At 33.2% G+C, this 16,526-nt stretch overlaps 1 protein-coding gene across 8 annotated transcripts in view; it reads left to right on the plus strand.

Annotated features, from left to right (window-relative positions):
- The window catches only part of CNKSR2 (connector enhancer of kinase suppressor of Ras 2), a 280,272-nt gene that overhangs the window by 131,130 nt on the left and 132,616 nt on the right, over positions 1–16,526 (plus strand). For 4 of the 8 annotated variants that reach the window (NM_014927.5, NM_001168647.3, NM_001168648.3 and 1 more), the window contains exon 9: positions 10,938–11,084. The exons of the other annotated variants lie outside the window; for them this stretch is intronic. In NM_014927.5, coding sequence (NP_055742.2) covers positions 10,938–11,084 — 147 coding nt within the window. The remainder of the gene's footprint in view (positions 1–10,937; positions 11,085–16,526) is intronic. 8 annotated transcript variants of the gene reach the window in all.

Below are 16,526 nucleotides of genomic sequence, written 5' to 3' on the forward strand. Positions count from 1 at the left end.
AGGAGGGAACAGATTGAAGGACTATCTCAAAACTTCCTCTAACTTCATTTATGCGTCTCCCTTACTCTCACTGTTGTCTCTCATTTTGGACTCTGTCCTCACTCTCTTGTTCCTTCAACCCCAGAACAACAGGAGAATATTGTTCAAAGGAGAAGCCAACATAATCAGAATGGATAGAGAGTGTGGTATCCCCTTAATATTCATCTCTCCTTTTCCCTCCCTCTCAATTTACCTCCTTCCCTGGACTTCAGCAGAAATGAATGAGTCATTGAGTGGAATCAATACCATGATATTGTCTAACAGCAGATGTACTTTCTTTCTCTTTTTTGATTTGCTAAATTGTTGTCTTTATTTTTTTGGTTTTTTTCTAATTCCATTTTCTTTTCTTTATCATTCTCATCTCTTCTCACTGGACTATTTCTCCTCCACTCTTCATCTCATTAAGTTTTCTTTGTTCTTCCCTATTTTCTTCTGTTCTGCTTTCTCAGAGGAGAAAGTATTTATCATATAATTCCATATACCTAAGATACTGAAAACTGAGACCACAAGAGGCAGTGTTTCTGGTGTACCCCACATCTTATTCCTGTAAACACACATGTTGCTGGACTACAGAGATTAATTATGTTAGCATGGTGTTTAACATATTGCTTAATAAATAATGGGTTCTTATAATAGCCTAAAATAACTATGTTAGGATTCTGTGAAATCAGTATTCTAAAATAGAACAAGTGAATCATTCTCTTTTGGGAGGGGGAAAAATTATGAAGAGACATATACCAAAAATTAAGGAAATGATGCATCAATGATTTTAGTTACTCATAATAATATTTTATTTCAGATTCTACCTTATGTAGTGGTTTATGAGAGCTTCATAGATTGTTTTTCTTTTATTTCACATTGAACATTATGGATTTGATGAGAATGTGTGGAAACTGGTTTTGAAGTGATACGTATTGATATAAACTGTATTTTTATTTTGTACAGAGAAATCAATTTATTACTTTATCATCCAATATAATATTTCATGTTTCTGTTATCAAACTAAAATTTATTATCTTAAGTCCTTATATAAAGGAGATAAATTGTATGATATCTCAATAATAGTTACTTCCTGTTAACCAATTTATTTTCTCTGCAGATCTCTGCATCCTGATTTGTTTCTTTCTTATTTGTGCAGTTCTTACTAGCTTTACCAGGAAGAGTAGTTGCTTTTTTAAAATGGTTACTGTTTCATTTTTTATGATTAAACTTTATCTTTCAGTGTCAACGTGGTTACTATGATCTAGTTATTTTACATGGAATTTTTAGTTTCCTTATAAGTTTATTTCATGTGTTTAAAATGTATCTATTGGCTGAAGTTCTTACCTACTCTGGCTTATTAACTTATTAAGTGTATGGCTCATTTGCAAATCAGCATCATCCTCAGTCACCCCCCACCCGTTTTTTTTTTTTATCTCTTTCATAAAAGGAAGAGTCTGCCAGTCACAATTGCCCAATCCACTTCCTTTTCATATTAGGAGTAGGCAATCAGTAGATAACATTTAACTGCCTGATAAAAAATTATCACATGAAAGGGAAACGCTAAAGAACCACCATATAATAGGAAATTAAATAGATGATGGCATTAATCTTAAGTTCTTTTTAGTTTATTTAGCCCTAGGACTCAAGGATAGGTTTCATCCACTAAATTAATATTCTGATTGGCATGGTAGCTCAAATTGTAGGTAACATAGCCACTCATTACTTTTACATTTCCTCTCACACTGTCCCTTCTGCATCTTATTATCCTAATAGTGGACAATAAAGGATTTTTAAAAGTTGGAAAAATGGTATATAGAATTCACTATGGTCTCATATGGAGCTGACATTGAGTTCCTTTTTTTGTCTGAGTTGCTGGAATTTTGGTAAAGTGATTTCTAAAGGTAACTTCCACAGTGAAAATACAGCCATTACAGAAGTTTTTCTTACTAAAAATTCTATTAATAAAGATTTAGGATGATACTTTTAGCTATATATATATACGTGTGTGCTTTAGTTTTGTGTTGTGATAAATATATACATATATTGCAGTATTTGCTAAATTTTCAAATAAGCATATTTTTGTTACATGTCTGCTAGTAAATGACATTGTAAAAATCATTTATAGCAAAGTTGTACATTTTTAAACATATTACTTTTTGAATACTAGGGTTTGAGTTGCTTTTTAATTTTGTCATTTAAGTTCCTGAATTAAATTTAAGCATGAATTTTTTGTAAGTATAGATTTTCCACAAAATTATTATAAATGGGAGCTTTAACATTTTAGATAAGGATGCTTCATTTTACTCCTTAGCTTTGGTGACTGGGAGTCTTTTCTTTTTATTTCAAAATACATATTTTTCCAGCATCTTTGTAAGAAGAACAGAAATGAAATATAGGAAGGAATGGCTGAAATTTAATAACTTAATAACCCATGTAAATATCTTCATAAAAAAATTAGTTAAAGGCCTGTATTGTGGCTGAGGGCGGTGGCTCATGCCTGTAATTCCAGCACTTTGGTAGGCCAGGGTGGAGGGGGATTGCTTGAGGCTAGAAGTTCAAGACCAGCCTGGGCAACATAGCGAGACCACGTCTCTACAGAAAATTTTTAAAAATTAGCCAAGTGTCGCAGCATGTGTTTGTAGTTCAAACTACTCAGGAGGCTGAGGCAGGAAGATCACTTGAGCCTAGAAATTCAAGGTTGCAGAGGGCTATGATCGTGCCACTGCACTCCAGCCTGGGCAACAGAGTGAGACTCTGTCTCAAAAAAAGAAAAACCTGTATTATTATGGTTATTTTAAAATATGTTACTGCTCTTTTGGGGACTGAGGTTCTACAGTATGATCAGAGGTTTACATTACAGCTTTACCTTTCACTACAATGTAATTGTCTTCCTCCTTTTCTCTCTTTAGCAAAAGCTTTCAGACCCATTCAGTTTTATGTTTTGATGAAGTAAAAGGACATTGTGAATGATGCTGAAATAAAAACAAAATTGGCTTTTAGTTTTCTGTAGCATATATGAATGAAAACCATGAAACCTCCGAAATAAACCTTAAGCCTTGAAAGACCACAGCATTACCAAATGCCATATTGGAAGGGGAGAAGGAAAAGTGAGCTGTATGTTCAAGATGCTGAACTATACCCACAGCTTTGGAATCAGCTTATCACAAAAGTCAAGACACCAACTATACAAAGTCCGCAGTTAATATAAGTGATAGGTTACAGGAGATAGTGCAAGTAACAGGGTATGGAAAGTCACCACCTTTGGTAAAACTATGTGGGTGATTCATAAAACTTACATGAAAAATTATTATCACTATTTTCTTTCTCCCATGAACTTCGTTATGAGTCAATCAAGAAATTCTGATTTAGCTCTCAGAACTTCTTGAATGTGGGGCAAAAAGATTCCAGGGGAGAAAAAGTGCTAGCTTCTTGTAGTGTTTGAGTTGCCTCTCTCTCTTGGACTCTCTGTCCATCTTTAGCTGTGAGAAATTATGTTCTCTGTTAGTGCTTTCTTTTTAAATACTACATATTTATACACACACATTATATATGCACACATATTCATAACTGTGAAATTCACATTAAGATATTAAGTATTAAAAAAGATATATGTAAATTCAGATTGTTAGCAGCTCAACATGGTCTAAGTTTTACTTTGAAATTAAGCCACGTTAAAAAACCAAATGCCTTGATGTACTCTTATTTCACTGGATAAGTGCCATTTAAAGTTCAGGAGGATGTGAGATGAAGAATGGCTCAATGAATAAAGACATTAAATTGTCGGCTTTTTTTCTCTAATGAAAATAAAATCTTTCCCGTATTTCTTCTTTTCAAATGTTTGTTCCTTTTATCTTTTCCCAAGACTTTCTTCGAATCATGTTTATAAAAATATCAACACTAAAGTTTTATTTAAAATAGGTAAACCTTGGGACATTTCTGAATACTCTGAATTACCTATTTAAGTTACTCTAAGCTAGGGTTAAAAATCACTTATTTGCATAGTTCCTTAACCACTGCATACACATTAGCTTATATTCCTTTGTACCTGAACCATGACTAATTCTTTATTTCTGTTCAGTGAATAAATGACTGTGAAAGAACAAAATTAAGATATCTCCAAATGTAGTAGACTTTAATATTGTAAGACTTTTTTTATTAATATTTCATGGGAAAAAATTAGGTGAAGATGGATTTCGTAGATTGGTACTCATTATTTAATAGTTTTAGAATCTTTGAAAGGCACTGTATATCAAAATTCATTATTTCTGAAATGTTTATAACAGTATGCTATTTCCTTCACATAGATTGTTTTCCCAAAGAAAGAGGTAGTCATTGGTATAAAATGTTTAATTTATTAGATACTTCAGTATCTTTTTAGTAACACAAAGAAACAGAACATTATAATAAATATGTCAGCACCAAAAAATTTGGCAAAGACTGAGTGTCATTAGTGGCAGTATGATGGCTTGTGTGTTGAATTAAGTCTCTTCAGTGCTCTTAAAAAGAGCAGGAGGATATTTGGGTGTAGCATGACTCATATTACCAGACATTCATATAGGCATACTTCTAGTCTATAAAATTTCCTTTGGGAAAAGGTATCATCTACATTACATCCTGTGAGTAAGAGTGTGTGTATACACAGGAGTGTGTGTAAATGTTGATAATGAATCTGTTTCTTTGTCTTGTGTAGGGTAATAACTTTGAAAATATTTTAAGAAATGTTCTATCTTCCTGCCTGTGGGTGTAAAGATGCTCTCTTGCAACTCCAAATATAGCCATGAAAAAAGGTAAAAAAAAAGGTCTGGGTTGATAGGCTTAAATTCTTACCTTTATGTTTATTTGTAACTGGCTACTTGGGACCATAGAGTAGAAATTATCTTTTCATATGTTAGTCAAATAACTCACCAGCTGTTATTTGGAAAGCAGACCAGGGCAAGTTCTAAAGGGGTCAGAGACAACTTCTTCCCTCTATGTACTGAGGGGAAAAGAAGCCTATCATCTCTTCAGCACCAACCCCAAAGCCTCTTGTGCACCTAATCCAGGCAACCAATTTTCCAGGACCTGCCCACTTATGTTGTCCTTCACAAAGGAACACCTGCTGTCTGCTTCAGCCTGATCAAAACAATTACAAGCCCCATCCACAAGAAAGCAGAACCTCTGGCTTTTAGCACTTGGGATTCCTTAATGACCTTCTTGGGAAATTTTAATCCTGTTTATGTTGTGTGTAAAATACATTTTAATGTACATGTTGGGGATTATATATAAATTAGTAAGCTATATGACTTGCTGTTGCTTGTAGGCACTGACTTCTGCTACCTTGGATAATGAAGAAGATAATAGTAGTTCAGTGTATGTGAAAAACATTATAGCTAATAATAAGACATTTGTGTAAAAATGCATATGGTGGTTTTATAAAGGTTCATTTTAGCCCATGAAATTAATGTGAATGAATTACTCTATTAAAATATTGATAAAGCACTACAAAATATTTTTCTGGAAAAAACACCTTCATAACAGTGTTTATATGATGCATATGATAAAGTAAAATTTTTCCAGGACAAATAGGATCTATACCCACTGTTCTTTTCCTTGTTTTAATCACATCATTATGACTTTAGGTCTGGAGTATTCAAGATAGAAATGTTTTTTCAAAGGTTCATTTATAAGGAGAAAGTTTATTTGAAATTTTGAGGTACAGAATGTCTATTACAGCTTTAGTATCAAGTATTTTACTTTTTTGGATGAGAGGTCATTTAATCTTTTATGCGACAAATTTTAAGTATATTACATATAAAAAATATTTTAATACTATATCTTGGTTTTATGTACAAAACTAAACCCTCCTTTCGAGTTTCAAGGCCCTTTATTGTCTCTGAAACATTTACATCATCATGTCACCATATCAGCTCACTAGTCAAGTTATGCAGTATGCCGTGAGATTCACATGAGGAAAATATGGTGTCACCTTTAAGAAGAGGCTTTATGATGGGTACTGCATGTAAGATGAACCTTTATGGATAGGTAAGATTTTATAAGTGAGAGAAAAATTACAAGCAGAGGGAAGAGTGGTTTTGCAAAGATACAGCTAAAGAGAAAAGCACAGTGTTTGAAGGAAACGTATATTCATTACTCAACCAACTCTTTTAATTATCAACTTTCTAAAAGCCTCTTATAATCATCTGAACTCTGTGTGTTTCTCCTGCCTCATTACTCCTTCCCTTGTTCTGTCATCTACGTGTACTGAACTACTGAAAGTTGCTCAAACCTGTGATACTTTGCCTCAGAGCTTTGTTTACCCCCTCAACCTCCACATCTTCTTCACCTGTCCAACTCCCAAGGAATTTGGCTTAAACTCATTGGAAACCTTCATTAGACCCTCAAGGATGGGTTAGGTGCCCCTGTTGGGGGCTCCTGTTGCACTCTGTATTCACCCTATTGAGGTACTTATCTTACTGCATTGTAACTGTTTATTGCTCCTTAATGAGGTACAGACTGTGCTGCATTCACTGTTGTATTCATACTACATGGAAGACACACAATAAATACTTAAGAGTTGTCTTAAAAACATATGAAACACCTAAACTAATCTAGACATGAGCAAGTCACTGCCTTCAAGGAGCTCATAATCTATTACAGAGGTTCTCAAATTGTGGCTCTTTAGGCCAGTAATATCAGCCTCACTTGGAAACTTGTATTAGGAAATAAAGGGTCGGGGGAGGAATTCTCAGGCCCCACTCCAGAACTACTGGATCAAAAACTCTGGGGGTTAAAACTCAGCATTCTTTTAACAAGGCTTCAAGGTGATTCTAACACATGCTAAAGTTTGAGAACCACATTGAAGAAAAGTAATCTGAGAAAAAGCTGTGATCAACTATACCGACAAAGGACCTGTTTGAGGATTGGTTATTTGTTCCTTAGTTGGGCCTTTGGAGAGCTATTAAAGGTTTTGAAGCATAGAAAACTTCTACACTGTAGCAGTATTTTGGAGCTGCAAAAGACTAGAAGCAGAAAGACAGGTTAGGATTCTGGTTTAAGTCTAGCAGTAGGTATCCAAGCCAGAACTAAGGCAGTGAGAAGAGGCATTAGTTGCTAGGATCTATTTGTTAGGACACAAAATAGATTAAAAAGAGGAGAAAAGTCATAGGTGACTCCAAACTCCCGACTTTAGAGGATGATAGGGAGGTTTTTTTGTTTTGTTTTGTTTTGTTTTCTGGTGAATGAAAGTAAAGAGATAATGAGTTTGATTTTTAAAGTCTTGTATTCATGTAAGCTACCAGTGGATATTCAAGGGAAGATACTGTGCTTTAGAATTGAAAAGACATTAATGTAAGTTCTGGCTTCACCACTTACTATTTTTGTAATCTTGGCCGAGAAAACAATCTCTTTTTGCTTCAGTTTCTACACACGTAAATTGGGTTTAATAGTTTACCTCATTAGGCTTTTGTAAGAATGAAAATATAAATAAAAAGAATGTAACATAGATATGAAGAATCTAGCACAGTGAATTGTTGATGCTTGCGATTATTCGGTAGCTATTAACGTGGACAAGCTAAACAGTTGGAAATATGACTAGAGTTATTGATAGGAAGCAGGAATGGTAGAAAGATTTGGGAATCATGCAGGAAGCTGTTGGTGAAAGCTCTTAAAAGAGATTATTGTAAGAAGACAGCATGAAATATTAGAAAGATGTGTAACACTTAGCCTAGAGGAAACAGGTACACTTATTGGTAGGGAAGAGGAAGAAAAGATGGAGGACAGGTAGGCAGAGATGTAACGGAACCATGTTATTTTACTCAAACTAATCTTTGTCATCTATTTTCATGTTTCTACCCACTCTATGTTTTAGAGTTGGAATGTATTGTGACTGAAAGTTACCTAATTATTTGACCTATGCAAGAATATTGAAACATCTCTTGGTATTGATCTATTTCACAAGTCAGCCAATTTCTTTTTTGGATATCTTTTTCTATTAGAATATTTTTCATCTCTGGACGTGGTGGTTCATGCCTGTAATCCCAGAACTTTGGGAGGCCAAGATGGGGAAATTGCTTGAACCCAGGAGTTAGAGCCCAGCCCTGGCAACATAGTGAGACTTATAAAATCTTGACTTATTGAGTACACCTGAATAATAAATTTATATTCTCTCTTGTCAATCATCAAGGTATAATGCATAGAGCAGATTTTGTTTCTCCATCACCACCTTTTAGTGTTTTAAATAGTAGTGTTGCCTTTCTGGTTCTGCAGTTTTGGTGGAAATTTTCCATCCATAACAAACAGTCCTGATTAGGTAATTCATAAAATTTATTATTTTCTAATTGGAATATTGCTATTCATACACTAGGTTCATGTATTTTGTTGGTTTATTTGTTTGTTTAGAAGAGTAACTCATGCTTATTGCCAAAAGTTTAGGAAATAAAAGTATAAAGAAGAAAGTATGTATTGCAAGTCCTTACTCCCTTTAATCTAACCACCATTAATGGTGTTTTCTATATTTATGTACATTCTTTAACAAAAGTGGAATAAAATTATGTTTGCTATTTTGGAACTTACTTTTTTCACACAATTTTTATATCCCTTACTAATGGATACATTTACATAATGTACAGGTTTTGGTTGATTTAAACAATACTGTGACACATATGTTGCACATTTATTTTTGTGCTTTTATCCAATCATTTCCTTATGGTAGTGGAAGTAGAATTTGGGAGCCAAAGATATATACTATACAGTTTTGATGTATATTTCTTTGCTCTTGTTTAAAACATTGTTAATGTCATGTGAATAATAAAAGGCTGATTTAAAAATAGTAAAATTAGATACCCAAATTTTCTGCCATTAAATAACATCAGCTGTAAAATTAAAATCCACCCAAATGAACTTTCTTGTCAGAAACCAATTCTACTTTCTGATAGAAAAGCAATTCTGTTTTTTGGAATTGTTACTTAAAAAGAGCATGTAGAAAGTGTGAAAGAATAGGATGAATCAAATTGCACTGAAAATTTCACAGGAAAATACCATCTAGCCTTAAAAATCTTCAAATTTTATAATAAGTAAAATGAAAAGAAATTGGTGAGTAGAAATCAATGTATAAATCATTGAGAATAGTTATGCTGGAAAAAAGATTGTGGCCATCACATTGACCACTTTAGTTAGCAATTATTTGAGTGAATAATTAAGTTACAAAATGTGGTTATCATTAATAAGTTGTTCCTAAACTCTTTGTATAAGTAGTATGTTTTCTCCCTCCAAACTTGTAATTCAAAGTGTGCATTCATATTTTTTTGGCAAGCAAAATGAACCCTTGGATTTGAACTCCCTTTGCTTTAACTCTTGGCTGTAGGGATACTACACAGCTATCAGAGGAATCGGAATCAATGTAATATACCTTTGGGCACATAATAGTCCCCACTTACATATAAGGGGAGGCATTTGACCAGTTCCATTACTGTAGTTGATCCACATTAATGTGATTTAAAAAAAAAAACTGGCAGTCTCATTCAGGTTATCCAAGTATAATGATCATTTTGATTCATATCTGAGACTCCCTGAGATTTTAAGTATTATAACATCTCACTTCTTGTTTGTTCTAACTTCACCAACACTCAATTCAGCTATAGTTGAGGTTGCAATTTAGATGAATGCTTATTAAATATACCAAAGTCCCCATTCTATAATAGCTGAATTCCAGATTACCTCTTCTTCATAGCCTAGGGGTCTGTGCTGCTTTTGGTGGAAGTGCTCATTCTCTCCAGCTTGACAAATATCTTCCAGGCAAAAACATGGTTATTATTAGACAAAGGGCACCAATTATCTTTAACTTGGATGCCTAGAAAGAAACTGTTATCACTGTTGAGACCATTTGCTAAATCCTGCTTACAATCCAGGATAAATTTTGACCTAGTGTATTTATGTAACACATCCTGGAAAAGTATAATCCATTAGGGTTTGGGATAAAAGGTTCTTCTCTCTTCTAAATGTGAATTTTTTTTAAAAAAAACTTGGAATAATAGACATTTTAATGTGTTTCTTTAAAGCATAGTTTCTAGGATTTCAGTTACCTGATACTGCATCACTAGTCCGTTTTGAAAGCAAAGTAACAAAAATTATTCTATGTTCAGAATTTTTAAAGGATGAAGAGTGAAGTAATTTTAACAGGGGATGCAGTTGAGCCCGATTTCAAGACATTTATCAAGTACTTTGATTTAATTACACAATATGTTTTTAGGTGATATTCAAATAGAATGGCTTCATTAAATTTAGCACGTTATATTTTAAGTTTATAGGGTTGTTTGGAACACATTCCAATAGCTGCTTCATTGGAGTAGTATTATCTTGTTATTTTTGTTCTATCTTTATAGCATGGTAAAAGGTTTATTGTATTGCTGCTATTGTCCATGCGTAAGAATGTTGCCTTGGTGTGTCAGTACCAGCTATTGGTAGTAAAATATCAGTCTAATTTAGAGACACTGGTACCACTTATCTCTAAAAGATGGTGATGAGAAAGCATGTGGTGTAGTTTGTAAGCTCAGGACATTGCCAAATCCTTGTTTTCAGGCATATAGATTTTTTAACTGTACTTGTGAACAGAGCTTGGATCTAGACCTAGCAGCTGAGCAGCATTAATGGTGACATAATTTCATTACATTCTGAATTACTCCATTGGTAGGATACCATTTTAGTCTTTGATTTGACATGGTAAATGTCCATTATGTTGTCTGGTAATGATATGGACTAATGCAATAATATGGTTAATCAATTCAAAGATAAAATTTATTGAGTATGTATCTCCTGAAAATTGATAGGATGGTACACCAATTATGTGACTTTTTTTTTTACTAATCTTATTAAAGGGGGAGAACATTAAATCTTTGAATACTGTACCTCAATTTTATTGTAATGATTTTGCTGGTTACCAGGTGGGGTGGCAGTTGAAAAATTTGGTGAATGCACTACGAGAGGACCCGAGTGGTGTTATCTTAACTTTGAAAAAGCGACCTCAGAGCATGCTTACCTCAGCACCAGCTTTACTGAAAAATATGAGATGGAAGCCCCTTGCTCTGCAGGTAATGAAGCTTAATCATAAGTCATACACCATCATTTTAGCCATAGATTATCTCAGTAATGCTTCTTTATTGTGCCTCATCTCAGCAGCATATGGATTAATCTTGTATGCTTTTGAAAAGTTGTTTGTGAAATGATCTCTTCACAGCTATTCTAATAGGCTTAATTGTGATGAAATCCTTGAGTATCTAAAACCCAAATGAAAAACAACTCTGCCTTAATTTGTAAACATTTAAAGCATAATTCCAAAATGTCACAATTTATTTCATGCCAAAATATGGATAGAATGAAAATAAGATGGTTCGTTTTTATGATATGATCTTCTATTTTATGTTATACCCACATACTCTTTTAGAAGAAGCTAAATGATAGTTTATAGAATTCTTTTAAATCAGTTCATAAAATAGTAATAGTAATTTATAAACAGTAGGAAAATGAAATGTTATATTAGTAATTAAAATGCACCTAGTCCAAACTAGGCGCAGTGGCTCACACCTGTAATCCCAGCACTTTAGGAGGCTGAGGTGGGTGGATCACTTCAGGCCAGGAGTTCAAGACCACCCTGGGCAACATAGCAAAACCCCATCTGTACAAAAAATTAAAAACTTAGCCGGGCATGGTGGTATGCGCCTGTAGTCCCAGCTATGTGGGAGGCTGAGGCAGGAGGATCATGTAAGCCCAGGAGTATGAGGCTGTAGTGAGCTCTGATCATGCTACTGCACTCCAGCTTGGGCAACAGAGACTCCATCTCTTAAAAAAAAATGTACCTTGTACATTCCTCCTGATTGATCATTTTTCTCTTTCCACCCTGTAAGGTGGCAAAAATAGGGAAATTGTTGCACTAGAATTTTTGCATTTTTCTTCAGCATGAAACATCACTCTTCAGCATGAAACGTTACTCTTAACATTGATAATATATTTATTGAGTTATCTTGAAAGTTATAAAAATATGATTCTGATTGATGAAAGGCAAGGATGTAATGATTTTTTTTCTATTTCAGTCAGGATATAATCTTTAAACTTAAGTAATTTTTGTCCTTCACGAAACGTACATTTTAAAAATAAGAGACTATTACCTTTTCTTAGAAGTTAATTAAAAAAAAATAGGCCCATTGAACTGGAACATGGCCCATTATTCATATTAAAAAGGAAAGCAGTATATGAAATGCATTGTTGTCACTGCTATGTAAATTGTTATTAAGCTCTATGTTAGTACCTTTTATTATTCATAGATTTTTTTTCCTAAGAATCAAAATTCTCCATTATACATGAATGGCTTTATAGATTATAATGATTTTTCATTGTTTAAAACTTTACTACTTATTGGCCGTTGGCATTATACTTAATATAAAAACACATATATGTGTCAACATTATGGCCTTTAAAATTTTAATGTGAATCTATTTTTCAAGTTAATATATGTAAAACTGTATTAATATGTCCAAATCCATTTGACTTGCATATATGTTTATTTTAAAAGATACTTGATGATCATTACAGTTCAGAGGTCAATGTTTGCCTCATTATCTAAGTCATAGATGAGTAGATCAGACTTTCCCATTACATTATTTTTTTTCACTGCATTATAATTTGCTTTGCTCCCCCTAGAGTTTCCTATTGCCATGTCTTCCCTAAAGATCCTTCTTCAAAGTGTAAGGGTGTGGGAACCCTGAAAAAGAGGCCTGTATTTTCAGCCAGTAGGTTTTCTTCTCTGTATATGTGAGTGAAATTTAATACCTCTTCTTTAGTCCCTCATATTTCACATTAAGCACCAAAAATACCCTAGTTTCTTGTTGATCCATGCACTCGGTTTGAGGGAATATCTCTAGCACATGCTTTTATAATCTATTCCCCTGTTATATTCTTTTCCACATGCACAAACTGAAGTGGAGAGTTAAGGTAATGGCAGTACCCAGTTAAGAATCATTTTCATATAAAATGCTAAAATAATTGAAAGACCAACTTTTTTGTTACATATACATTGGGTGTAGGTATTCAAACCTAGAGAAAAAGGACTTTAATTTTAAAAATTACGTCATGTCATTCCTTACCCTGTAAGTGCCTTACTCTTCAGGCACTATTTCTAGATCCATTCCAAATTCTGAGAAATGTGCCTCATCAGATCACTAATTATTTTTATTTGTCATCGCTTATTCAGCTATGCTGCATGTATTTGTAAATTTACTTTTTCAAAATGCTGAAATCTGAAAAAGAGGAAATCAGCATTATATAAGTGCTGTATATATTGACATTTTTCTAAATTTGTCATTTCAGCTGAATTTGGTTCAACTAAAAGCTATTGGCCAAAGTCAACCATCCGTAGATAAATAATACTATTGGTTGGGGGAGGGGAGACTGCTTCTAACATTTTTGAAAATTACTTCAGTTGTTGCCTTTTTACAGAGCAGAGGAAAGAGTATTGGTGTTAATTAAATATTTTCTAGTGGCTAAAACAAGGTCTTAGGAGTGAGGACAATGGGTAAGTCCTCTAACATACCGCACCACTACCGAATCTCCCTGATGAAGAAGACCTGAAATTGAACCATTACAGAATTCTTCATTGATCTTAAAGTTCTGGCTTATGCTAAAATGCAAAGACACCTGAAAGCATAATGAAAACTAGTCAAAATTTTTATAGATTATAGATTTTGGTACAGAAGATGGACAAAATCTCAAGGTACCAGGATCTGGAGGGTGAAGGTACACTGCCTCCAGAGCAGGAAAAGTTAAAGAAATAGTGAGATGAAAAGATCTTGAAGGCAGTTTTTCATAACATCATGACTTTATCTGAGGTCACCTTTTCTTCATAGTACCTAAGGAGCTACCTCAGATGTGAAACGTAACTGCTAAATGTAGTAACAATCCTCTACATAGACAGGAGTGCCATTTTTATTGTATTCTTCCTTCTGGTAGGTGCAGAAATACACTGGAGCCAAAATGCCCATCAGCTCATCCAAATACAAATCTTCAGCATTCAAACTTGAAAAAATGGAAATGAGGTTATTTCTTTTTTCATAGGGTGTACCAGTAGTCTACCAAGAATTATTTAGAATAGAGGATACAAAAGGAAATAATCTGTGGCGTTTATTTAACTCAATATGTCTATTTAACCTTTTTGAAAATACTATCCCAGGCTTAATTTACCTGATAGCATTTATAGATTAAAATATAGGAAAGTTTGTAGTAGTATGGAGGTAGGCACTGATACATGTATCTTTTTAATAAACAAGTTTATCCTAACATAAGGAATAATGATTTTTTAAACTTATAAGGAATCGTTTTTATCTATACAAATAAAACAACCTTATCTATCCTAAGATAGAAGATTGTCAAAGAATACCACGTTTTAATTAAAGTAGTAGTTTTATTTCTAAAAATACTAAAAGCATAGTGACTTCCAATATTGATTAACTACAATGATGAATTTTGATTTGGATTTTCTTTTGAAATTCATTGATGAAATTATAGCCAAATAAACAGAAGCATACAATTCAACTTCATGCTCACAGAGCAATTTCATTAGTACATTTCATTAAATTGGCAGCTCTTTTGATGAATTCCTGATTTCTCAAATATTTTGTGATAGAACGTAAGGACTTAACCATCCCTTAGTCAAATACTACAAGCAAATTTAATAATATCTGGAAGCTTTAATTCTGTTGTCATTTTCACCCATTTGTAAAAACAGAGATGTCTCATCTGAGATAGAATCTCTTATTCTAAGAAAAACCAGGGATTCCTTGCTTTCTGAGAGCTGCTTTTCAAAACATCTTTTCAGTGGCACTCTACTAATTTCCTGCATTTTGGTAGGCATGGTGATTGCTTATCATCAATTTCTTCTAATTCAATGAAAAAAAAACAAAGAATTGTGGATAAACCTCAAGGTATATTTTTAGATGTTTGTGGTTTTAAATTAATATGTGTAGGCCAAGAGCATAGATGGGTGGTGTCCTTTTCTTCTTATGAGAGATGTATGGAAGAATTATCTGGACACTGCCAAGAATGTTCCTTGGAATCATCACTGGGAATCAATGACTTTTAAAACATTTAAAAACCCAGCTTTTTTTTTTTTTGGTGAGAATGCATCTCAGAAATGATCACTAAAATCAGTGCTGGAATTCTCAACATAATGACATATATTGTTCAAGACATTTTTATATAAAATAACATCAAGCTGTAACATTATAATTATGTTCCTAAATTGTATTCTCATTTATAAATCTCTCATTTTGCTGCCATAGTTACTTGTATGATTTTGTGATTTTGTGTTTTTCCATTTAAATTTTATTGTTTAACATTACCTTGATGCCATTTTTAGAGCATATTTAAATACATTTGAGCAGAAAATAGAAAGAAAAGAGTCATAGTAGTTGATTTTGTTTATCAACTGGTGTAACAACTGGAGAATGTTGATTGCATTTGATTTCATATACATAGAGATATGAATGGTTAAAGTCATTCTGGAAAAATCAAAATACATAAGTAACAATAAAATTTAATATTCAAGTTGCAGGTCGTTGTGACTGAAAAAAAAACATTAGTGACAAAAAAATTTATCTGTTTCTGAGAGTTTTGTTTTAAGGAGAGCAAGAACTAGTATTAGGCATGGCACTAGAGAAGAAAATCAATTTTTAACTAAAAATGTAATTGGGCTGACTGGGAGCCAGAAGCAATTGTATGTTTTACATACTCAAATGAGTAAATACATGCAAGTAATTGTCAAATTTTAGCTCACCAGTCTTTAAGCAAATCAGTCAAAGGATCTAAGTCACATTTGTATTTTTGAGCCACATGCTTTCAAGATTTTAATAGTGGCTACAGATAATCACCTATAATGTAAAAATTGTCCATTCTTTCTTTAGTTAACATCCCCAAAATGATGTTTACTGTAATTTGAGAAAATGGAAGTCCAGTTTTAATGTTGCAGTTTAATTATGCCCATAAGACTGGACAATGCAGGATTAAAGACACTAGTGTTAGCCTCAATACAATGTGCAGTATTTCATGATTTGATGGAAAAAGCCATTTTATAGTGTGACTCTTAAGTCTTTATTAGTTATATGCTTTATAAGTAATACATGTTTTAGGCATATATATCTGTATTTTTAAGCCTAGGTAGATATGGTTTTCTGATCAAATCTGTGGTCAGAAAAAAACACTTGTTTTCTCTGTATTCTGACAGGAAAGGAAAAATTATATGCTTATAAAAGGATACTCAAACCTTTTGTATTTATAAATTTGCATTCTAGAAAAAGCTGTGAAAGAACTGAGAGTGGGAGAATTTTGAATATATGTATTTCCCTTGCTTCAGTTCTTTTCAAATAATTGACTACTTATGAAAAGCTTGGCCAGAAAAAAGTATTCCCAATAATTTTCCAAATTAGATCTAACCTTCTTTACATGGTCAAGAAACTAAAAATTATATGTGAATTCTTGCTGCTTAA

This window comes from Homo sapiens, chromosome X (genome assembly GCF_000001405.40).
Source record: "Homo sapiens chromosome X, GRCh38.p14 Primary Assembly".
Classification (NCBI taxonomy): domain Eukaryota; kingdom Metazoa; phylum Chordata; class Mammalia; order Primates; family Hominidae; genus Homo; species Homo sapiens.